Source organism: Homo sapiens, chromosome 11 (assembly GCF_000001405.40).
Source record: "Homo sapiens chromosome 11, GRCh38.p14 Primary Assembly".
Classification (NCBI taxonomy): Eukaryota; Metazoa; Chordata; class Mammalia; order Primates; family Hominidae; genus Homo; species Homo sapiens.
The window spans coordinates 9,123,003-9,148,195 of record NC_000011.10 but is presented as its reverse complement, the minus strand read 5'-3'; the positions used below and the strand labels follow the sequence as shown (position 1 = coordinate 9,148,195).

At 44.7% G+C, this 25,193-nt stretch overlaps 1 protein-coding gene across 5 annotated transcripts in view, besides 2 other annotated features; it reads left to right on the top strand.

Moving 5' to 3' along the window:
• DENND5A (DENN domain containing 5A) overlaps positions 1–9,371 on the top strand; it is a 126,526-nt gene extending 117,155 nt beyond the window's left edge. For 3 of the 5 annotated variants that reach the window (NM_001348749.2, NM_015213.4, NM_001348750.2), the window contains 8 exons: positions 1,045–1,166; positions 2,381–2,526; positions 3,083–3,201; positions 3,918–4,099; positions 4,711–4,793; positions 5,351–5,474; positions 6,088–6,256; positions 8,342–9,371. In NM_001348749.2, coding sequence (NP_001335678.1) covers positions 1,045–1,166; positions 2,381–2,526; positions 3,083–3,201; positions 3,918–4,099; positions 4,711–4,793; positions 5,351–5,474; positions 6,088–6,256; positions 8,342–8,525 — 1,129 coding nt within the window. In that variant the 3' untranslated portion in view covers positions 8,526–9,371. The remainder of the gene's footprint in view (positions 1–1,044; positions 1,167–2,380; positions 2,527–3,082; positions 3,202–3,917; positions 4,100–4,710; positions 4,794–5,350; positions 5,475–6,087; positions 6,257–8,341) is intronic. The other 2 variants (NM_001243254.2, NR_145966.2) reach the window with 2 other exon arrangements.
• Positions 8,880–9,174: an enhancer, noted in NCBI's record as "tiled region #9656; HepG2 Activating non-DNase unmatched - State 17:Gen3'". NCBI's record gives its function as "activates a minimal TATA promoter and a strong SV40 promoter by Sharpr-MPRA in HepG2 cells {active_cell/tissue: HepG2}" and the evidence as "EXISTENCE:reporter gene assay evidence [ECO:0000049][PMID:27701403]".
• Positions 9,988–10,177: an enhancer, noted in NCBI's record as "active region_4401". NCBI's record gives its function as "activates an Ori minimal core promoter by ATAC-STARR-seq in GM12878 lymphoblastoid cells {active_cell/tissue: GM12878}" and the evidence as "EXISTENCE:reporter gene assay evidence [ECO:0000049][PMID:35858748]".

The following is a 25,193-nucleotide window of genomic DNA, read 5'->3' as shown; positions in this document are numbered from 1 at the left end:
GTTCTAGAAGGCCTTCCAGGACCACTGAAGCGTATGGCTCTTTAAATTCCCAGAAACAGCCTTTTGTTTGATTATTCATTGTGAGCAGTCCTATACCATGGCCTTTACCTGATTTATTCACTTAGACTGCATTTGAGGATAGGCGCTTTCCTCTCCAGCACCTGGACATAACAGGCCTGGGTTGATAAATTATCTGTTGAAAGTGCCTTGTAAACCTGGCTAGGTAGAACCTCACAGTTCTGAATTCTGTACCCGTCTGGCCATGGTGATTGCAGCTTGGACAACCAGGACAGTTGTCTTCTTTTGTTCTTTGTGTTGAAGGCCTGTACATTTGGCTCTGGGTGTCTCCTCTATTTGGGGGAAGATATCATTGCTTTGAAGCTGCGGAGGGCCTGGAATGTCAGGCAAAGGAGTTGACCTCTGATGAATAGGCAGTGAAAATGAAGGGAGAAAGTTTGAAAAAAGGGGAAGGATATGATCTGCATGGCTCTTCCTTGCCTGTGACCTGGATCAGAGGCGGGAGCAGAAGCCTGCCCTTTCTCGCCTCTGAATCTGTCCTAGGCTTATACCCCCATTCAGAGCAGTGTTCTGACTTGTGGCTCTCAGATCTACTCAGGGTTCGAAACTAGGCCTGGTGATGAATGGTGACCACAGACCTTCATCCACTGCCACTCACACACCATACACTAGCTGACAGCCTAGCTAGAAGCCTGAGAAGACCTGTGTCATCCTTGATGGAATTTCATTCCAGCCCTCAGTTTAGAAAAGGAGATTTCATGACTTCTGACACTTGATATTATAGTAACATCAACATACCTTGGACACAGGCAGTATTTGATTTTTGTTGTTCCTGCTGTAGCTTAAACCGTTGTCCCTCTGTCCCTTAGTTAGAGTAGCTAGCTTTGTTCCTTTATAGGGTGAACCTAAGGAACTTGAAGCTTGACATCTTATGCTTCCCTTAGCTGTCTCCTTCCAGAACTGAAAATTCTAGTTTCTTTCCCTTCCTTTTGGTCGGAGACTGATGTATTACCTCCTCTCCAACAGAAAGTTATATAAGCGCTATGCCTTCCTGCGCTGTGATGACGAGAAGGAGCAGTTCCTCTATCACCTCCTGTCTTTCAATGCCGTCGATTACTTTTGCTTCACCAATGTCTTCACAACTATCCGTGAGTAGCCCTGTGCTCCCAGCTGGCCTTCTCAAGGCAGTCTTTATGAACCTGCCTGAGACTCACTCATTGTCCCCTTTTTAAAGAAAGAAGATTATCCCTTGTACTTTCTATTTGTCTTTTGCCTCTGTGGGGAGAGAGGTGCACTTGCCCTCCTTGGAGGCTGTGTTTTCTCTGAAGTTTCTCATTCTTGTTCTGAACTGGAGAGCTCAGTCTTTTTTGCCATTGTGTTGTCGGTGTTGTCCTAGGCACTGCTCTGGGAGCCTAAGCTGATGAAGGTGGAGTGGAGTCAGTTGAGCTGATGCAGTTTACCTCCCTCCCTGCATACCCACAAAGAATCTCCCTTTTGTTTTCGCCTGAGAGGCTCACTTGGCATCACAGAATGTTTCAAACCAGGCTGAAGGGAAAAAGAGCTCTTTTCTGAGGTAGCAGAAAGAACTCCAGATACCAGTGGGAGATTTCATTCTGGGCTCAGCTTTGGCTAACTCATTATGTGTCTGTGAGCAGAGTCTATCCTGCTGTGAGTCCCAGTCTCTCTATTTACAGAAGAGGGAAGAGGGTTCAATATGGTCTAATTCCCTTTGAGCCTCTTCTTTCCCTGATGCCAGGATTCTCTACTGGGTGGAGGGTAGTCTCTGAGTTTGCCACATGGCTAGTTCTTTGGCCAGTTACTCAGCAGCATGGACTCTTGTTTCTGTCTGATGCTGCATCTTCCCTTTTAGAGACTAGGGCTGTGGGCTTAATAGAAGTAGCCCTGGACTGGAATTTAGAAGACCCGAGGCAAACTTTCTTTCTCTGTGCCTTGGAAAAAGGATTGCAATACTTCCTCTCCAAAGATTATGATTGTTATTAGGGTTCATGAGATGATAGATTGAAGAGTGCTCTAAAAAGCAGTTCAGTACAATGTTAGGAGTTGGGGATATTGTTTAACGAACAGGTTCATTTAGTTCTGAGCCTACAGATAGGCTTGGATCTTTGATGTTTGGGTGGTAAGCCTGAGAGGAGTGAAATTGAGGAGGGGCCATGGGGTAGCTGGCTAATATTCTACATTAGCCAGGGACTAGGTCCTGGGGCCCTCTTGTTCCAGGGCTCTGCTTGAGCTGAGATAGCAGGAGCCACAGTTGTGCCAGCCTTCCTGGAGCAGGTCAGAGTCCCATCTGGTATGGGAAAGATTCCTAATTCTCCTCAATACTTTTGTGGCTTCCCCTAAACAGTGATCCCGTACCACATTCTGATCGTACCAAGCAAGAAGCTGGGGGGCTCCATGTTCACTGCCAACCCATGGATCTGTATATCAGGAGAATTGGGTGAGACACAGATCATGCAGATTCCCAGGAATGTGCTAGAGATGACCTTCGAGGTATGTGTTATTTGGGGCCACAGCTCTGTGGGGATCTGAGTTTGCAACAGCCGCTTTGGGGAGTTTTCTGCAGGGTTTTTCAGAGGGCTTGCTATGTACAGTGTAATGCTTCAGCATAGCTGACCTTCCTGAGATGATCTGAGGCTGGATCCAAAGACTGACCCTGAGGAGGGGGACCCCACCCTGTCTAAACAATGTTTGGAAGGCACTTACTTGTCTGGACATGCACATCTCTCCATGCATAGTGTGTTGAGAAGTCCCCAGGAGTTCTTTCAGCTACTCAGCCCACCTGTTCCCAGAGACCTCAGAACCCACTTCCAGAATCTCTTGCTCCCTGACCCTGTTCTTCTAGGTAGAGTGTTTTCTTTCTCAGCCTTGGGCACCCCCATGAGATAGTGCTGTACCGCAGTTCTGGCGGTATGTAGAGCCATGACCTCTAAGCCTGCAGATGCTGAGGGGTCAGGTTGCAGGCAGCCAGTCAGATCTGTGCCTCCGAGAACTACTGTTCTTTTCTCTGATTTTCCTGACCTACCTCATCTTCTCTATTCTCTAATAGTGCCAGAACTTGGGGAAGCTTACTACTGTCCAGATTGGCCATGATAACTCTGGGCTGTATGCCAAATGGCTGGTGGAGTATGTGATGGTCAGGAATGAGATCACAGGACATACCTACAAGTAAGTATACCCTCAGGCTGTAAGGTAGAGGGGCAAGGTGTATCTACAGGAGCTCTTCGATGCTTGGGTATGTGGAGTTCCCAAGGAGACCCTTTAGGTTGTGATAACCTGAGGCAACTTCCTGTTTGGCTCTGCCTCATACACTTGAAAGTAAGTAGAAGGAGGGTTTCTTCTGTTGTTTCTTTTTCTTTCTTTTTTTTTTTTTTGAGACGGAGTCTTGCTCTGTCACCTAGGCTGGAGTGCAGTGGCGTGATCTTGGCTCACTGCAGCCTGTGCCTCCTGGGCTGAGGCGATTCTCCTGCCTCAGCTCCCCGAGTAGCTGGGATGATAGGCATGCACCACCACGCCCAGCTAATTTTGTGTTTTTAGTAGAGACAGGTTTCGCCATATTGACCAGGCTGGTCTTGAACTCCTGACCGCAGGTGATCCGGCCGCCTCGGCCTCCCAAAGTGCTGGGATTACAGGCATGAGCCATCAGGCCCAGCCAGAAGGAGGGTTTCTAGGTGAAGATGTGTGGAATTGCTGTGCCCAGATCCCAGGCCACCTATGCCACTCAGGGTGATTCTCTGATGATACATGGTGGAACCAGCAGAGCATTGAAGGAGTCTCTATCCTGGTTTCAGAGCCTATCTCCAGGGATTGGCTTTGTTGATGGCTCTTCCTGTGAGCAGCAGGGAGGAGCTGGCTGCTCTGACAGTCCATTGTCTGATCTTCAGGTTCCCGTGTGGCCGGTGGTTAGGGAAGGGCATGGATGATGGAAGCCTGGAGCGGATCCTAGTTGGGGAGCTGCTCACATCCCAGCCTGAGGTGGATGAGAGGCCATGCCGGACCCCGCCGCTGCAGCAGTCCCCCAGTGTCATCCGGAGGCTTGTTACCATCTCACCCAACAACAAGCCCAGTAAGTGGGAGGAGGGGTTGGGCCCTCATGCCATACAGTCTAGGGAATGGGTGGATCTCTGTGAGCCCTGATAATGGGAACCTGGGTCCCAGCCTGTGCAGCTGCCTCAGGAAACACTTCTGCTAACAAAGCCACCTCACACATATGGCACCCTTCTCTTATGAATCACTGAGAGCATTTGGCACTCTCCTTAGAGGGCTGGCAGGAGAGGAGAGAACTCATGCTGCCAAACCTGGGCGCTGTATATATTCATGCATGATCCATTAAAGGAGAGGGGCCTACTTTCTGGACTCCCCCTGCCTGATTCCTGGGCTTCACAGCCAAGGCTTGGCTCTCTTTTGGTTACCCACAATTCCAAGGTAAAATGGAAACTAAACTTTACCAGCATTTCTTAGAGATAGAACTCTAAGGTGTTAGCTTTTGTGTTTTTCCCCCAAGATTTGCGGAAGAGCTAAATCAGCAAAGCTGGGTGGGCAAGCGCCTCTGCTTCCTAGGGTCCAGCTGCCCTGCCTCTCCTATGGGCCCTCCCCGTGTCCTCAGTCTCCTGCTCAGGCAGCTAAGCACTGTTAGCCTCAGAGATTGGTTAGGGATGTCTGCTTGATTTTTATTAGAGCTGAACACTGGGCAGATCCAGGAGTCCATCGGGGAGGCAGTCAATGGCATTGTGAAGCACTTCCATAAGCCTGAGAAAGAGGTGAGCCTTCCTGCCCTCCAATCCAGGGCCTTACATTGAATAAGAGAGAATAATTTTGTTTTTCCGATTATCTTGTTATGCTCTTCCAGGCCCATGTGCTGTGGACACCCTAGAGTCTTGTAGAGTGTGTGCCTCAGCTAGTTGGAGATGGAGCAGACTCCTTCCTCTGGGGGCCTTTGCCTCAGGTTACCCTGTTTTCCCTCCATACTGATGACCCAATAGAGTCCCTGGGCCCCTAGTGAACAGTGCCTATTCCTGTCCTCTTCTAGATTTGCCTGGGTCTCCTTGAATAGTGGCCACACTGGCTTTGTCCTCCAGTGGAGAATCTCCTTGTGTGTGACCCAGATCCATCATCTCTTCTTTCATCCATTTATTCAGCAGCTCTTCACTGGGAGCTGCTCTGAGCCAGGCACTGTGCCAGGTGTTAGGGAAACAGACAAAGTCCTAGCCTGTCTTTTGCAGCCCTCCCAACTCTGGGCTGTGGGTTTAGGGATGCAATGGTGGGAGGGCAGCTCGGCTGAGACAAGCCTGGCACCCTCCCCTGTTTCCTTACGTAGCGAGGCAGTCTGACGCTGTTGCTCTGTGGAGAGTGTGGCCTTGTCTCGGCCTTGGAACAGGCTTTCCAGCATGGATTTAAATCGCCCCGGCTCTTCAAAAATGTCTTCATTTGGGATTTCCTGGGTGAGTTGAGCTGGAGTATGAGGGTGGGAGAAGCATGTAGAGATATAAGGGGACTCACCAGCATAGCATGGGTGCTGACCACTCTGAGAGGCAGAACCCAAATTAGGTGACTCTCAGATCTCATTTGTTTGCTCTGGTTTTTCTTGAAGGGAGTGACAAGAGCTCTCCTCCCCGTCCTTGGTAAATGCTTACCTCTTGAGAATTGCACAGAAAAGATTCTTCTAGACATCTGTTATTTAGTATGGACTTAGTCCTGAGTCCTCACACTTTCCCCTTATAGATCCCAAAGTCCAGTTGAGCGTATTGGAGCCCCAAGCCCTGTGTTGCACCCATATGGAGAATTTTCATGCAAGAAACCATCCTCAGAATTTTTTGTGTCTTCAGACTAGGGAAAAGAACATCTTTATATCAAGGGCCACATACATAAATTTAAAAAATAAGGATAGGGAAGCTAAGGATCATTTTGAAACATGACCAGTGACATCAGAACACTTGTGCTATTCTCATTAAGTTACCTGTGTGGACTTGGAGAGGCCCATGGCAAGTGGCCTGTAGGACCGTCAGGGTTGGTGTTGAGAGCCTTTTCACTGGCAAGCTTTTCTACTCTTCACAGAAAAAGCACAAACCTATTATGAGACATTAGAGAAGAATGAAGTAGTCCCTGAGGAAAACTGGCATACAAGAGCCCGGAACTTCTGCCGATTTGTCACTGCAATCAACAATACTCCCCGGAACATCGGCAAGGATGGCAAGTTTCAGATGCTGGTGTGCTTGGGAGCCAGGTACTGCAGACCCAGGGCCCAGAGTGCACAGCGGTTAGCCTTGGTGGTGGTGTTGGAGGCCTGGTGCAGTGCAGGGGTGAGGAATGGCTCATCAGGTGCCCTTAGGGAGATGAGGCCTTAGAAGGTTTCCTAGAAGCCCTGAATTTCCTCTGTGTATCGTGTATGGTCACACACTGCATAAAATGTGCTGCGTAACAACATTTGTCAGTGACGGACTGTTTATGGGATGATGGTCCTATAAGATTATACTCTGTTTTTACTGTACCTTTTATAGGTTGAGATGTTTAGGTACCCAAATACTTACCATTGTGTTTTAGTTGCCTACGGTATTCAGCACAGTATTCCTTCATTTTTATTCTTCAGGCTGCTGTGGCAGGAAGCTCCAGGAGAAGTGTAGAAGAGCAGGCCTGGGGGCTGGTGACAGGGCTGTACCGATTTGTAGCTTAGGAGCAACAGGCTAGACATATAGTAGGCTCTACCATCTAGGTTTGTATGAGAACCCTATAAAGTTCGCATGGTGACGAAACTGTCTAATGACACATTTCTCAGACTGTATCCCTGTCATTAAGCAACACGTGACTTATGTGTGTGGTGATCTGTCGGGGTAGGGATGACAACGTGTATGTAACTCGGGGCAGAGGGGCCCCATTTTGAAAGGAAAGATCAAAATCACACCACTGGGGAAGTTTGAAGCAGAGTATATCTAGTTATTCCTTCATTAGACATTTAAATGGCCTTATGGAAGTTGGTAGGAAGACAGCTGAATAAAACGTGGCCCCTTACCATTTATTTATTTATTTATTTATTTATTTTGAGATGGAGTTTCGCTCTTGTTGCCCAGGCTGGAGTGCAATGGTGTGATCTCGGCTCACCACAACCTCCGCCTCCTGGGTTCAAGTGAGTCTCCTGCCTCAGCCTCCCGAGTAGCTGGGATTACAGGCATGCGCCATCACGCCTGGCTAGTTTTGTATTGTTAGTAGAGACGGGGTTTCTCCATGTTGGTCAGGCTGGTCTTGAACTCCTGACCTCAGGTGATCTGCCTTCCTTGGCCTCCCAAAGTGCTGAAATTACAGGCGTGAGCCACCATGCCTGGCCAACATTTAGAAGCTTACTTGTCCTAATTAAATACAGAGCATGGAAGAAGGTTTTGAGGGTCCAAAAATGAAGTGTACATTCATACAATATGCTGAAAAGGTAGAGGAGAAAGATCAGAGAAGACTTCAGGGAGGAGTTGGTATTTAAGTGAGCCTTTAATGGAAGGAAATAACAGAACGTGGCAAGGGCAGTAATAGGAAACACAGTTGAAAGGAGGGTAGGGCCCCTGAGCTGGGACAGAGAAAGATTCTTTTCATATTAGTACAAAGTTGTTTCATCAGGGGACTGAAGTAATATTAATCTGATATTATGGGTGGTATGCATTAGAGTGGACATGATTATTAGGGGCTATTCCTGTAGGTCAGGTGAGAGAGCATGAAGCTCAAATAAACTTAAGGCAGTTTATTCAGGCTGCATAAAGGGAGAGAATTGGCATAGTGGTTAAAAACAGACTCCAGAACCGCATTCACTAGGTTCAGATCTCAAGTTATCCATTTACTAGCCATGTGATCTTGGACAAGCTACTTAACTTCCATCTACCCTACTTTCTTCATCTATAAAGTGGGGATAATAATAGTACCTACCTCATATCACAGGGTTATCATGAAGATTAAATCTCTTATGTCAGTGCCAGCACATGCTGAGTGTTATGTGAGGTTAGTGCTTATTATTATTCCTGGTGGTGGTAGCTGTGGGAGGAGAGAAGCTCTGGGAGACACCAGTGGTGGGGCTGACTAGGCAGGGCGAGGGAGGCAGGGGAGGAGGAGGCTTGGAGGCTCATGACAGGGCTGATTTGGGTCAGGTTTGTTTGGTGTCCTGGAGCTGAAAGACCTCTTTGCCAGTCCCTGTTTGGGAAAGGGGGGTGTGGGGGGCTGTCAGCTTCTCCAGCTTCAGACTTAGTTCATGGTTTCCCCCTTGGCCTTGCACTAACGCTCTCTCTTCCTTTTCCTTTGCCCCTCTGACCTGCCTGGACTGCTCCCGCTCTGCCAGAGATCACCTCCTACACCACTGGATTGCCCTGCTGGCTGACTGCCCCATCACTGCACACATGTATGAGGATGTGGCACTGATCAAAGACCATACACTTGTCAATTCCTTGATTCGTGTGCTGCAGACATTGCAGGAGTTCAACATCACGCTGGAGACGTCCCTTGTCAAGGGCATCGACATCTGACCTCCCAGCACCAGCCAGCAGCAGGACTGAGAAAGACTCACCCTGCAGCTCTGACCTTTTTTCCCAAAGGGACTTAAGCGATTGTGCAGGAGTAGGAGACAAAATGTACACTCACTGTAAAAAGAAAACTAGAGGATTTTTGGAATAAATAATCTATTTTAGAGTTTATTTGCTGATTTGCTTTTTACACACTTTCATGTGAAAGAGTGATAGGGAGAGGGAGCGAGGCTGGTGCCGCTTATTTTGAAGCTGGTGCCCTCCCTCGCCGTGGCCACATGCTGGAAGCCTGAGGCCTCCCTGGACTGAGCCTGTGGCACTGCGTGCGGGACAGTTATGTTTCCTTGCCCCGTCGCATTAATGAGGCCCTTCCACATCATTTTTAAACTAATGTTTTTCTATATTAACATTATTATGGATATTTGGCTTTCATAGGCCACACACAGGTGTGCTGCGCGGGAAGCCCCATGCTCCAATCAAAGGGATTTTTAGTAGTGCCTCTAAGCAAGCACCGATGAGTCAGTCCCACGTATTTTCTTTTTTGTCAGTATTGTTTGGGAAGGAGACATGCCGGGATGTGTCATCGTGCCAAATACCACATTTCCTGTTGGCACAGTTTCACAGAAGTAAACATAAGCATGTTTTAACAGGTTTTTCTTTTCTTTTTTCTTTTTTAAAATGTTTTATTTATTTAACCCGCCATTGTGTGTTTTTAAGTATTTTCTTTTTTTAAGGAAAGGAAAAGCTTGTCACAATCTAACTGGCTATGTTATTATTATTAAATTTATGTTTTGCAACTTAGAAACCAGCTACAGTATGGCCCACTTAATAAAACACCTGAAACAAAAACTGCATGGATCACTGATTTTTATGGAGGTTTATGAGCAGTGGGTGGCTGCGGGTGCAGTTGGGTCCATCTGTGAGGATGGTCTTGTGGCATCACCTCTCTTTACCAGCAGGCTCGGGGTTGTGGCCTGCCCAGGATGCCCCTGAGGGCCTGGGGTCTCCTGGGTCCTTCTGCCCGCAGTGCTAGGAGCCTTCCTAGCTGTTATGTGGCTGATTCACATGGATGCAGACAGGGTTCTTTCCCCACTCCACAGAGGAGGAGACTGAGACACAGGAGGGAAAAGACCCGGCCAGGGGTGCAGAGGTTGTCACTTGACTGAGACAGGATGGGCCCTTTCTTGAGAGGGTAAGGGAGACCAGGTGTGGGAAGCTGGGGGTCGGGGGAAGCTCTTGAAAGAAAGGTTTGCTTTCCTGGGGATGGCAGGTGGGAGACCTTTATGAGAGGTCCAGCTTCGTTCATTTTTATTCTTCAGGCTGCTTTGGCAGGAAGCTCCAGAAGAAGTGTAACGTGATCAAGTCAGGCACCTCAGACCAATCAGTGCCCTCTTTTATGCTTTCCTGGTTTGCATGCATTTTCCCTTTGCCTGGAATGCCTCCCCTTCACCCACTTTGTGTTTGTTGTACAGGGTTTACTTTAGCAGTCACCTGCTGTGAAGTGTCCCCAATCTCCCTAGGCAGTTAATCATTCCATCCTTGTGCTCCTTCATTTTCTTAGATGCTGGCATCTCCTCTCTGGATTGTCATTGCCTGCTTTCGTGTCAGGCTCAGCCCTTGCACCGTGAGCTCCCAGAGGGAAAAGGGGGATCTCTTGCCTGTCTCCATCCCCTGGGCCTGGCAGGTGGTAAATGCTTCTGAAGAGATGAGGAGAGGGCCCAGAGAGCTGCAGCGCAGCGTCCTGCCTGCAGAGGGGGTGAGAGGCCACACTGCAGCCGTCTGCCTGGAGCCCACGGACAGAGCTTTAGTTCTCTCGGAGAAGGCCGAGGAAAGGGGAAGGAAGGTAGGCAGTACCTCTGGAGCAGGAAGTGGGATTCTTGGCTGGGCAAGAAGGGCAGCATGGAACTCAGCTGTATGTGTTTATATTGTGGGCCTAGGCCTGAGCTTACCTTAAGGCAGGTGCTGGGACCAACTATTTCCTTGCTCTTTGTAACAGCTGATCCTACTCACTTTCTACTGTGTTTTGTTTTGTAATCTTCTGCAAATCTGTTTTGGAATGATGTGTGATATAAGAGAACAGACCTGTTTAGTAGCTCAAGATTTCAAGGACATTTGAGTCAACTGCGTTCTTCCGTGTAGGGCCCAGCCAGGCCTCTCCAGTGGTCCTGGGTAAATCAGGTGTGTTTGGTTCACTCAGCAAGCAGCCCTGCCTGCCTCAGCTTCTGCACCTGCTCTACTTCAGGGCTTCCCAGGCTGTGATTTCAGGGACTGGTAAATAAACAAGCAAGCAAAGGAACTCAGGGAATTACTATAAAGCAAGCACCCTTATAATCACCACTCAGGTCAAGAATAGAACTTTGCCAGCCCCCCAGGGTCCTCCATGTTCCCCCTTCCCCATCACAGTCCCAGCACCTCCCTTCTTCCATCTTAACTTTTATAAGTAATAATTTCGTTGAGTTTCTTTATTGTTTTGTCACCCAGATGTGCATCCCTACATGCTATAGTCTTACTGTCCTTTTAAAAAAACTTGATACATCTTTTAAGTCTCTTTTAATCTAAAGGGTCCCCTCCATCCCTTTCCTTTTCTTACAAATTGTTGAAGATTTTAAGCCATTTGATCTGTAGATTTTCACAGCCTGGGTTTTTGCTCATTTCATGCCCGTGGTGCAGTTCAATATACTCCTTTATCCTCAGCATTTCCTGCAGATCAGCAGCTAGATCTAGACAATTTGCCTCAGGTTGATCCCTTTGATAAGACTCTAGGTAGTGGTGTGCTCATTTAGCAAGAAGCACGTAACATCTGTTTTTCACTTTTGTTATGTTAGCAGCCACTGATGCTCAATGCCTACATCCAGCAAGTAATTCACTGGGGATTGCAGCATGGGGATATTCTAATCTATCATTTTCTCTTCATTTATTAGATGGAATAATTTTATAAGGAGACATTGTCTCTCATCTACTGTTTGATTTCCCAGTAGAGTTTGTGTGGGAAAGGCAGATAAGTGCTTAATTCTTTCCTTTTATTTACCCAACTTTTAAGATATGAACTGGTTCTTTGTTATCCTCAGAAGGTGACTATTTTTTAAACAATATTATGAACTCATGAGTTTAGATGTATTTGATAGGCTTCATCTCATTGCAATTATTATCTTTATTGTCCTGCCTTTGGCCTTTGGGAGCCTCTTTAAGTTGGTTCCTGAGTTGTTCTGACACAACTCTAGTTGTCTTTGATATCTGCTTTGTTTTCTGGTATTGCAAGATGTTCTAGGCTCACTTTATTCATTTTCTGTCCTAGACTTGGAATCAGTCATTTCTCCAAAAAGCCCTGGTTTCCTTAAGTGGGAAATGGTATTGCAAGACCATAATTGGACACTAGAAATTCTCATTGTTACTGGTAGATCATTGGTTCTAGGCCTATTCAGTAGACAGAGCTTTGATTATATTTAAATATAACATTTTTATACATTTAATATAGACATCTAGAAACATATATAGTAAATATGTATTTTTAAAGATAGTGAAGGTCTTGGAATTATATATGTTAAATGCATATATAAATATGTATGTATACATGAGTGTGTATACACACATGCATCTATGGTACCCCATGATTTTACAGTGTTCTTTCTGATTCCAATTCAGGATTATAGGGTGCCTTTGTCCATTTAATGCGGCTACAAAGGAATACCTGAGGCTGGGTAATTCTTAAAGAAAAGAGGCTTAGTTGGCTCATCGTTCTGCAGGCTTTACAGGAAGCATGATGCTGGTACCTGCATCTAGTGAGGGTCTCAAGCTGCTTCCACACATGGTGGAAGAGGAAGGGTGTGCAGAATCACATAGCAAGAGAGGGGTGAGAGAGACGAAGGAGGCTGGGCTCAGTGGCTCACACCTGTATTCTCAGCACTTTGGGAGGACGAGGTGGATGGATCACTTGAGGTCAGGACTTCAAGACCAGCCTGGTCAGCGTGGCGAAACTGACTATGAGATTTGGAGGGATCAAACCAAACTATAACATACTTTTACTTTTTTTTTTTTTTTTTGGAGATAGGGTCTCACTCTGTTGGCCAGGCTGAAGCACAGTGGCACGATCATGGCTCACACAGCCTTGACTTCCCAGGCTCAAGTGATCCTGCCTCAGCCTCCTGAGTAGCTGGGACTACAGGTGTGCACCACCACAACCAACTAATTTTTAAATTTTTTGTGGAGACAGGGTCTCACTACATTGCCCAGGCTGGTCTTGAACTCCTGGGCTCAAGCAGTCCTCCTGCCTGGCTTCCCAAAGTGTTGGGATTACAGGCATGAGCCACCATGCCTGGCTTAACTTCTTATATATTACATCTGTATCTCTTTTTTCCATAATGAGAACCCTAGGTTTGAAGGGCAGAGAAATTGGTAGAATAAGAAGATCCCCTAATTAACCATTTGCTTTATCCCACATTATAAACACAGCCATCTCAGAATAACAATACTAATGCTTCTACTACCAATTATGATCATGGAAAACAGTTAAACTTTTTTTGGTATGTTATTCCCATCCTTCCCCCTCAAGCCTGGCCCACCCCGCTGCCCCACCCTTTTCTTTGAGACAGGGTCTCACTCTGTCACCCAGGCTGGAGTGCAGTGGCACAATCTTGGCTCACTGCAGCCTCAACTTCCCAGGCTCAAGCAATCCTCCCACCTCAGCCTGAGTAGCTGAGACTACAGGTGCACACCACCATGCACAGCTAATTTTTGTATTTTTTGTAGAGACGGGGTTTTGCCATGTTGCCCAGGCTGGTCTTGAACTCTTGGGCTCAAGCAATCTGCCCACCTCAGTCTCCCAAAGTGTTGGGACTACAGGCGTTAGCCACTGCACCCGGCCAAGCCCTTATGTTTTATTTTTATGTATTTATCTGTGGCTCGCTGCAACCTCCACCTCCCAGGTTCAAACAATTCTCCTGCCTCAGCCTCTTGAGTAGCTGGGACTACAGGTGCGTGCCACTACTCCCGGCTAATTTTTTGTATTTTTAGTAGAGACAGGGTTTCACCATGTTACCAGGATAGTCTCAATCTCCTGACCTCGTGATCCACCCGCCTTGGCCTCCCAAAGTGTTGAGATTACAGGCGTGAGCCACCTTGCCCGGCTAGCCCCTATGTTTTAGTAGAGGTACTCTATCTTTGAGAGATCATATATTATTTCTGTCAACTTGGGTTTTTTTGAGAAGCAGATGCCAAGACAAAGGAAACACCTGTGAGGGCTAAAGAGCAAGGGAGCAAGAGTAGGCAGGGAGAGGCTTTAGATCCAGGGGCCAGGCTGACCCCTGGGAGAGGACAGAGGGAGGAAGGACTGGGAAGGAAGTCTTAGACCATAGACCAGCTCTGAGAAGAATCTCAGTGAAGTTGATGGGGAGTCCCTGGCAAAAAGCTGCTCATGAGAGGAGTCCACTTTGGGCAAGACTGGGCACACCAGTAATCCTGTTGTGCTCAGTTGTTGTCTAGAAGCAGAGCCTAGAGGAAGTGTGGCTTCTGCATTCACAGGGGAAGCAGCTGGGGGCTGCCATTAATTATGACTCCTCTGGGCACTTTGTCAGGTTTTCTTGAAGGAGACTTGAGTGATGCAGCTCCACAACCTGCACAGTCTGCCCCTTATACTGCACAGATCCTCTTTTCCACAATGCACCCATGTTTCTTTCCATGGTTTCCCGACGGGAAACCTAGAAGAGGGAGCTTTGGGGAACAAATTACAATCACCATTGATGAAGTTAGTCTTGGGGCCATGGTTGGTACTTACCTTCTCCCTTCTGCGCTATCCTAAGTTCCCATCACCTTCAGCTATCACTTCAGTGGGGCTTGGCTTGCTTAGTGGTATAACCCCAACCTTCATTCCTGAGAGGTCCAAGCCCTTGGTCATCATACTCTTCTTGACCAGGGTTGCTGCAAATGTCCACTTAGAGTTACAACTGGACAAGGGAGTACCAAGAGATACCCAAATGGATCATTTGGGCTTCACATTATTTTAGCCCCTACTGATGTATAAAAACAGCGCGACCACGTCCTGCTATTCAAGCTCAGTCATCTCTGCCATGATGGTGACTCTTTTCTTGTCTACTCATTCTTAGATACAAGGAGTCCAAAGTACCCTGGTGGCAGCCAGAGTTCTGTAGTTCAGTGGGACTTAACGGGTGTAGTTGTGTCCCTGGCAAGAATATGCCCCCTTTGGGGATTAGTGTTTCCAACCCTACGGAACCTAGAGTTCAGGGACAGGAAGCACAACATTCCCCAGTGGGTCCTTGGAAGTGATGGTAAGTGTAGCCACTCTTGCTTCTGCCCCTAGGTTCCTGGACCCATGCATTTTTCCTGTAGGGGACATAGCAGGAAGCTGTAATTTAGATGTGATTATAGCTCTCTGATTTAATGCATGTGCTGGGTCCTGAAGGATGGCATCCAGTCCTTGCAGATTATTGCCTCCAGGCGAGTGCCCTAGCTGTGCCTTCAGTAAGCCATTCTGGTGCTCTTTCAGGCTGGCAGCTTCTGGATGGTGCAGTATATATATATGACCAGTAGATCCTATTGTCATAGGCTCACTTGCTCACCTCCATTGTGAAGTGGGTCCCTGGTTGGATTCTATGCTGGATGGAATTCCATACCTGTGGATCAGTTACTCTGTAAACTTCTGAGGATACTGGTGCCGGCTAAGGTTCTGTAGGCAGAAAAGGCAAGCTGATTCCCAGGATACGTCTCTATCCCTGTGAGGATAAACCGCTGGCCTTTCCAGAATGGAAGGGGCCTCATGCAATTGACTTGCCACCAGGTGGCTGGCTGGTCTCCTTGAGGAATAGTATTATATCTGGGACTCAGCATGGATCTCTGTTGCTGGCAGAGGCAGCAATAGCTAGATCAGCTTTGGCATGTGGGAGTCCATGCTTTTAGGCGCATACATAGTAGCCTTCATCTCTGCCACTGTGACCAATTCCATTCATGAGACTGTTGTGCCAGTTCCAGGATGGCCAGTGATGAAGTGGCTGAGTCATTTAATCTACTCAGTTGTTAGTTGTCTTTTGTGGTGGATGCTTTCTGGTGGGTGTTAATGTGTGATACAAAATCTTCACATTTTGTGCCTATTTCTAAATGTCCACCCACATGCTTCCTTGTCCTCAATCTTCCAGACTTTTTCTTCCAGCCTCTGACTAGGCAGCTAGATCCTTGGTTGCTGCCCAGGAACATGTCTCCTGTGTAGAGTTCTCCTTCCACAAGCAGCTGCCGCACTTGCAGTTCTGCTCATTGGGGAGATTTTCCCTTGCCTCTGTCTTTCAAGAAAACCCCTGACTGTGGCTGTCAAGCAGGCACTGTCCATTTTTGGCTTCCACCCACACGCTGAGTTGACCCACCAGTAAACCAAGCTTGGTTACCGTTTCTATCTTGCAATGAAGTACTACAGGCCCTACCTAACTAGGACTTGGCTGACTTAACAGAAGCCAGTCCGTCATGGCCAGTTCTAGATGTATTGTCACTTGATAGTCAAGCATTGCGTCTAAATTGGAGCCTAGTCACATGCCAGGAACTGTTTCTCAAAAGGTATATGCAGATGTCATGCTCCAGAAACCCAGGGGCCTGCTTTGTGATTATTTCACTGGGGCTTTCAAAGAGGTCTGTATTGCATCTTACCTATCACTGACACTTCCAATGCCATAGGGTCTGCTGGATCATATGATCGAAAAGATAAGCTATTTGCCTAGCTGCCTGGACCTCCTGTAGAGCCCTTTTCTGTTCCAGGCTCCGTGTAAAGCTGGCAACTTTCGGTACCACCAGAGAAGAATTTCTAGGTGTGGAATGTGTGGCCTCCAGAATGCAAAGAGCCCTGCCACGTGCTGTGCATCCTTCTTTGTGGTAGGAAGGATGAAATGGGCATCAACTTGCGTTTTACTTTGAAGGGGATGTCCTGGCACACCATGACCACTGGATACCTAAAAACTTCACACGTGTTCTTTTCTATTCCAATGGAACAAGAGGATCAGAACAGTTGGCATTCATGTGGAACAGACAAAGATATTCATCTGCAGTTTTCCCCCATAGTTATATTAACTCTCTTGCCTTCAGTCATTATGCAGAGAGAGAGGGACAATCTGGACATCCCACAGAATAGCACACAGATGCATTAAATCAACTGCATCATAGCGACTGGGCAGGATAAGCAAGAGGTGGCTAGTGTGCTCCAGAAGGCAGATGATAAACCCTGTGAAAACTCAGGGACCTGCTCTGTGGCTGGAGACCAACTGTGCTGGGCCATGGAGACAACCTGGGGAGTTTTATCTTTACCATTAGAGACCTGAGAAGTCATGGAAGGATTTTCTGGAGATGGGTGATATGTTCAGATTTGCATTTTGAGGAAGAGATGTGAGCATCCTAGTGAATAGCCACAGGGGAGATGAGCACAGCTTGGCTTAGGAGTGGTGGTAGAGCTGGAGGGAAGGGAATGGATTCTAGATTGCTTCAGAGGAAAGACTGGGAGGATCTGGTGATGGATTGCTTCTGGGGTAAGGAAGAAGAGGTATTAAGGATGTTGTATAGGCCTTAGGGATACTTGGTCTACACTTTAGTTCACAACACAGACTTGTGATGTTAGTCAAACTAAGATTTGGGAGGTGGTGTGTACGTCCATGCTCACAGGCTTACAGTCACCTGTGTTTACAGTCTCGAGCTATTTTGAACTTCCTTTTCTCATACTAATTCTGAGGGAGCTGGGGCTGGCTGGCACACTTAAAAGAAGCCCTGGAACTCGAGGTTCCTTCCTGCCTTTCTCTGACCCTGAACATAAAGCCTGCTATTGGCTCCAGGGAGGGGTAGGACCTGAACACTTCTGACTTGGCCCTTTGGCTGGGGTCGTGGTGATCTCAACTTCCGAAAGGAGGTTTATTATAGGGTCTGACCTTTAACTCCAGCTAAACAGGTGGGATAGTTATAGCAACCTCAGAACTGCAGGATTAATTGCCTAGAGTCTGGTTTCAATTGCTTGAGTTTCTCAGCCAGAGCTCTAGGCTGCTCCAGAGCTGGGCCAAGGGCATCACTGGACCAAACTGTACATTACTTGCCATCTTGGTTCCTGATCTTCTTGTCCTTGGTAAGCTCTGGCCTTAAGGACAAGTATTAGCTTCCCTACCCCTACAGGCTGTCACAGGCCTGACAGCTCTTTGAATGCTTAAGCTCCACTTCCCCAAAATGTTGGTGCTCTCACTGATGTTAAAACTGAGAACCAAAAACAGAACACATTAGGGACAGGCCTTCCGATAAATAAACCTTTAGCCAAAAGTGTGTGCAAATCTTTGTAAAAGCTATTCTTTCTGGACTTGGACTTGTGCCTCTTTATGCAGTTTTGGGGTTTGGAGGTACCTCTGGTGAGAGCTGGAAATGTGTGACCTCAGCCTACCACTGAGGCTCACTTGGTTGTGTAATTTACTAAGCTCAGTCTCTAGCATAATTGAGATTATGTAGATTTGTACAACTTTGTAGCAAAAATCAATCTGAAGGTTGAATTAAAATTGGTGCTTGGTTTTATTTGCAACAAATTTCAATTTACTGAATTTACAATTGTAGTTGATTCTCTTGGGGGAGTTCTTTATTTAGAATAATGCTGTCCAACTTCAAAGAGGTCATTAGTCTGGGACACTGAGACAGCTAGGTTTTAGTCTTAGAATGTTGTAGGACCCATACATCCAGGTAGTGTGCCTTTCTGTTCCTCAGTTTTCTTATAAATAAAGTAAGCACCAAGTTATTGGTGTGTGCTACAGACAAAAAGACCTAGCAAATAAATGATTCTTAAAAATAAGTCAGTAATAATTAGGCAAGAAAATTAAATAAGAGTCATCCAGATTGGAAAGGAAGAAGTGAAACTATATTTGCAGATGACATGATCTCGTATATAGAAAATCCTAAGGAATCTACTAAAAAACTATTAGAATTAATAAAAAAGCTCAGAAGAGCTGGGTGCAGTGGCACATCCTTGTAATCCTAGCTAGTTGGGGGGCTGAGATGGGAAGATTATATGAATCCAAGAGTTTGCAACCAGCCTGGGCAACATAGTGAGACCTCATCTCAAACAAACAAACAAACAAAAAAACAACAACAACTTAGAAGATTTCAGGATACATGATCAATACACAAAAATAAGTTGTATTTTTGTATCAATATACAAAAATAAAACTTACTGCAGTAGCAATAAACTGAAAATTAAGAAAACTCCATTTATCATAGCATCAAAATGAATAGAATACTTAGGAATGTTTAACAAAAAAAGTGCGGAATGTATGCTCTGAAAATTACAAAACATAATTGAAGGAAATGAAAGAAGACCTAAATAAATAGAAAGACATCATTGTTCATGGATCATTGGTAAGCTGGTAATGCTCTTCAGACTGATCAATAGATTCAGTGTAATCCCTATCAAAATCCCATCTGACTTATTTGCAGAAATTGACAAGCTGATCCTAAAATTCATATGGAAATTCAAGGGACCCAGAATAGCCACAGCAAGCTTGAAAAAGAACAAAGTTGGAAGATTTGTATTTACCTATTTCAAAGCTTACTACAGTAATCAAGATGGTACAGTATTGGCATAAGGATAGACATATAGATCAATGGAATAGAATTGAGCACATAAATAAATCCTCACATTTATGGTCAAATAACTTTTGGCAAGGGTGCCAAGACAATTCAATGAGAGAAATAATAGTCTTTTCAACAAATGATGCCAGGACAACTGGATATCCACATGCAAAAGAATAAGGTTGGACCTTACTTCACATTACATACAAAAATTAACTCAAAATGGATTGATGATCTAAATGTAAGAGCTAAAGCTATATATAGGCATACATCTTTATGACCTTAGATTAGGCAATGGTTTCTTAGCTATTACATTCAAAGCACAAGCAACAAGCTGGGCACAGTGGCTCATACCTGTAATCCCAGTACTTTGGGAGGCCAAAGCAGGAGGATTGCTTGAGGTCAGGAGTTCAAGACCAGCCTGGTAAATATGGTGAGACCCCAATCTCTACAAAAAAATAACAAATTAGGCCAGGCCCAGTGGCTCACACCTGTAATCCCAGCATTTTGGGAGGCTGAGGTGGGTGGATCACTTGAGGCCAGGAGTTTGAGACCAGCCTTGCCAACATAGTGAAACCCTGTCTCTACGAAAAAAAAAAAAAAAAAAAAAAAGCAACAAACAAAATTGGACTTCTATAAATTTATGTTTATTTTATTTTTATTTATGTTTTATTTTTCCATAGGTTATTGGTGTACAGGTGGTGTTTGGTTACATGAGTAAGTTCTTTAGTGGTGATTTGTGAGATTTTGGTGCCCCCTCCTTCCCCACAAGTCTCCAAAGTCCATTGTATCATTCCGACGCCTTTGCATCCTCATAGCTTAATCCCAACATATCAGTGAGAACATATGATGTTTGGTTTTCCATTCCTGAGTTACTTCACTTAGAATAATAGTCTTCAGTCTCATCCAGGTCACTGCAAATGCCATTAATTCATTCCTTTATATGGCTGAGTAGTGTTCCATCATGTATACATACCACAGTTTCTTTATCCACTCATTGATTGATGGGCATTTGACTTGGTTCCACAATTTTGCCATTGTGAATTGTACTGCCATAAACGTGCATGTGCAAGTATCTTTTTCGTACAATGACTTCTTTTCTTCTGGGTAGAAACCTAGTAGTAAGTTTTTTAAGGAATCTCCACACTGTTTTCCATAGTGGTTGTACTAGTTTACATTCCCAGCAGCTGTGTAGAAGTGTTCCTTGATCACTGCATTCACGCCAACATCTACTGTTTTTGATTATGGCCATTCTTGGAGAAGTAAGGTGGTATCACATTGTGGTTTGGATTTGCATTTCCCTGATAATTAGTGATGTTGAGTGTTTTTTTCATATATTTGTTGGCTATTTGTATATCTTCTTTTAAGAATTGTCTATTCATGTCCTTAGCCCACTTTTTGATGGGATTGTTTATTTTTTTCTTGGTGATTTGTTTGAGTTCATTGTAGTTTGTGGATATTAGTGCTTTGTCAGATGAATAGATTGTGAAGATTTTCTCCTACTCTGTGGGTTGTTTACTCTGTTGACTGTTCCTTTTGCCATGCAAAAGCTCTTTAGTTTAAGTCTGAGCTATTTATCTTTGTTTTTATTGTATTTGCTTTTGGGTTCTTGGTCATGAAATCCTTGCCTCAGCCAATGTCTAGAAGGGTTTTTCCAATGTTATCTTCTAGAATTTTTATAGTTTCATGTCTTAGATTTAAGTCCTTAATCCATCTTGAGTTTATTTTTATATAAGGTGAGAGATGAGGATCCAGTTTCATACTTCTATATGTGGCTAGCCAATTATCCCAGCACCATTAGTTGAAAAGGGTGTCCCCCGCTTTTTGTTTTTGTTTGCTTTGTCTAAGATCAGTTGGCTCTACACACACAAAAAAAAGCATGAGCAACAAACAAAACTAGACTTCCATAAATTTTAAAACTTTATGTTTCAAGGAACACTGTTCAAGAAAGTGAAAATACAACCTATAGAATGAGACAAAATATGTGTAACTCATATATCTGACAAGGGACCAGTATCCAAAAAACATAAAGAACGCAGTAATAAGAGGACAACGCAATTTAAGAATGGGCAAAGAATCTGAAGAGACATTTCTTCAAAGAAAATGTACAAATGACCAATAAGCATGTGAAAAGATGCTTAACATTGTTAGCCACCAGGGAAATGTAAATCAAAGCCACGATGAGATACCACTTTATACCCACTAGAATGGCTATAAGCAGAAAAACAGATATAAGTGTTGGTAAGAATGTGGAGAAACAGGAATTCTCATACATTGCTAGTGGAAATGTAAACGAGTGCAGCCACTTTGGAAAATAGTCTGGCAGTTCCTCAAAAGGTTGAACATAAAAGTTAGTTTATAACTCAGCAGTTCTAGGAATCAGCCCACAGGAAATGAAAACACATGTTTACACAAATGCTTGTACATGAAAGTTCATAGCAGCATTATTCATAATAGTCAAAAGGTAGGAACAACACAAATGTCTATCAACTGATGAATGGATTAACAAAATGAGATGTTATTCGGCCAGATAAAGAATTAAAGTACCAATACATTCTGCAACGTGGATTACCCTTGAAAAGACCATATATTGTATGATTCCACTTATGCAAAATATTCAGAAGAGGCAAATCTGTAGAGGCAGAAAGAGAATAGGGTTGTGTTGGGCTGGGGAACAAATGAAGAGTAACTACAGTAAATATGGGATTTCTTTTTGGGCTGATAAAAATGTTCCAAAGACAGCTATGGTGATGGTTTGCACAACTCTGTAAATATAATAAAAACCATTGAATTGTATACTTTAAATTGGTTAATTCTATGGTATGTGAATTATTATTATCATTATTATTATTTTGAGACAGAGTCTCACCCTATCACCCAGGCTGGAGTGAAGTGGCACGATCTCAGCTCACTGCAACCTCCACCTCCCAAGTTCAAGCGATTCTCATGCCTCAGCCTCCCCAGTAGCTGGGATTACAGGCATGCGCCACCATGCCCAGCTAATTTTCATATTTTTAGTAGAGACAGGGTTTCACCATGTTGGCCAGGCTAGTCTGGAATTTCTGACCTCAAGTGATCCGCCCACCTCAGCCTCCCAAAGTGCTGAGATGACAGGCGTAAGCCACCGTCCCCAGCTGATGGTATGTGAATTATATCTCAATAAAGCTGTTATAAAAATGTCAGCAATTAATAGATTCAAATTATTGCAGTTATTCCAAAGTCCTTAGATCTATTTCATACTCTTTCAGTAGGGTATCCAGCTGAGACTAATGCATTCTCCAGGACGCAGGACATTCAGTGCTAAAACCTGGGAAGTCCTGAGCAAATCAGGGTGAGTTGGACACCCTACCTCCAGGAGACATTTCTTAGGGATGGGCCATAAGGTGTGCTTGACCTTAAAGAAGGAAGTTGAAGGGAATTTCCTGTTCTCAACCCTGTTCTTGGGGAAGTCCAGAGTGCTGGAAAGAAACATTCTCTCTAAATCTTCAGGCAATAAAACATATCATATGATTAAAAAAAAAACCTGGAAAGGATACCTTTCAGAGAATCATTCAAGCATGGATTCCATTTCCTCCTCAGTTACATTATCACATAACTAATATTTGATTGAGAGGCATTTCTGCTTACTGAATATACATATATTTCCCCACAATATTCCCAGTGCTTTTATAGTTGGGCAGGGCCATGTGACTATTTCTGGTAAGGCAGAAACAGGAACAGGCTCTGGTTTGTCCTTACAGGTTCCAGTTTGTCCTCCCTTTTCCCTGCTTCTACGCAGCTTTCTTCCCAACCTCCAGCCCTGCTGATCAGCAGAGACTCCAGGGCCACCACTATGTAAAAGGCAACAGTCTCCCCTAGAATTCTTCACCAGCTCCCATAATCCTTATGATAAACCACCTTTTCTAATAAACATCCGATTTTATTTACAAAGCATTAAAGCTTCAGCAAGAAGTACCCAAGGTTAAGTCTCATCTTGTACAAAACTACAGAATTTTTTTTTTTTTGAGACGGCGCCTTGCTCTGTCACTCAGGCTGGAGTGCAGTGGCACAATCTCAGCTCACTGCAACCTCCTCCTCCTGGGTTCAAGCAATTCTCCTGCCTCAGCCACCAGAGTAGCTGGGATTACAGGCGCCCACCACCATGCCTGGCTAGACAAACCCCCTTTTGTGAATCACTCACTGTGCTTCTGCTACCCTGCTTAGACCCTAACTGGTACAGAGAGCCACGTGGCCACTACCTGGCATGGGCCAGTCATCTCTGTCCTCTGGCCTCACCTGATGTGTTTCTTGCCAGGCATCAGGAGATGTGACCTGAGAACTGCCATTCACCAACCTCCTCCAGCTTTGGATCAGGGTGACCAGATGGAGGGAATCCCCAGGGCTGTGATCAGAGGGCTGTACTCAAGGCCAGGGCAACTAGAACAGCAAGAAGCCACTGACTCTCCTGGGAAGGACCTGGGTGCCTCTGAGCTATGACCCCACTGGAGCCACACTATATTCCCTCAGTTACAGCACTTAGGTGGAAAACATGTATCTGGGTGTTTTCTTCTATTTCCAACACAAACTCTGAGCCCTGGTGATAAAGATAAATATGCGATTCCAAGGCTGCTTTGACATAGGACACATTTGGAACTTAACACTTCACCTCATTCAAATCCCTACTTACTAGGTAACTCAGACTTTGTGTTCACTTTTGTTTTTGTTTTTAGACAAAGTTAAGCCACCCACTGCTCAGCTGCTGCTCCTCAATCTTCATGGTTGTGTAGCTTTTCTGCAGAGGACTGACTGGAAACAACTAGGTTGGTTTTGTAGCAAATGCAATATTCCTCTCAAGAGAGTTGGCTTGGGAGCACACACTTATTCCAATAATTCTGCCGTTGCTCAAAGCCCTTTTGTATCTCTGGTTGGGTCTTCACTTCCAGACTGATTACCTAATACACTCCTTGTGCTGGCAAAACTTTGTCCTACAAAGGAGGATTTAAATGTTTAGAAATAGATGTCTTAGTCACCTTAGGCTGCTATAACAAAATACCATAAACTACAAACATTTATTTTCACAGTTCTGGAGGCTAGGAAGTCCAAGATCAAGGCACCAGCAAATTTGGTATCTGGTGAGGGTCTGCTTTGTAGAGATAACCAGTAGTGGGGTTGCTGGATCACATGGTAGTTCTATTTTTAGTTTTTTGAGAAATCTTCATACTGTTTTCCATAGTGGTTGTACTAATTTACATTCCCCACCAAGAGTGTGTAAGAGTTCCCTTTTCTCCACATTCTCACTTGCATTTGTATATTTTGTCTTTTTAATAATAACCATTTTAACGGATGTTAAGAGGATACCTCACTGTGGTTTTATTTGCATTTCCCTGATGACTAGTGATGTTGAGTTTTTTTTTTTATTATACTTTAAGTTCTGGGGTACATATGCAGAACATGCAGGTTTGTTACATGATGTTGAGTATTTTTTTTAACAGACTTGGCCATTTGTTTGTCTTTTCTTGATTTGTTTTCGTTTTTTTCTTTTTTTTGTTTGTCTTTTCTTGAGAATTGTGTTTGTGTCCATTGCCCATTTTTAATGTGTTTATTTTTCCGTTGAGTTGAGTTCCTCGCATATTCTGGATATTATCTGGGACTAATATCCAGATAAATAGTTTGCAAATACTTTCTCCTGTTCAGCTGGCTGCCCCTTCACTCTGTTGATTGTTTCCTTTGCTTCGTAGAAGCTTTTTAGTTTAATATAGTCCTATTTGTCTATTTTCGTTTTAGTTCTCTATGCTTTTGAGGTCTTAGCCATAAAATCTTTGCCTAGAACAATGTTCTGAAGTGTTTTCCCTGTTTTGTTCTAGTAATTTATAGCTTCAGGTCTTTTAAGTATTTAATCCATCTTGAACTCAGGATGGATTTTGTATATGGTGAGAAATAGGGGCCCAGTTTCATTCTTTTGCATATAAATATCCAATTTTTCCAGCACCACTTATTAAAGAGGGTGTCCTTTCCCCAGTGTATGTTCTTGGTGCCTTTGTTGAGAATCAGTTGGCTATAAATATGTAGCTTTATTTCTGGGCTCTCTATTCTGTTCCATTGGTCCATGTCTAT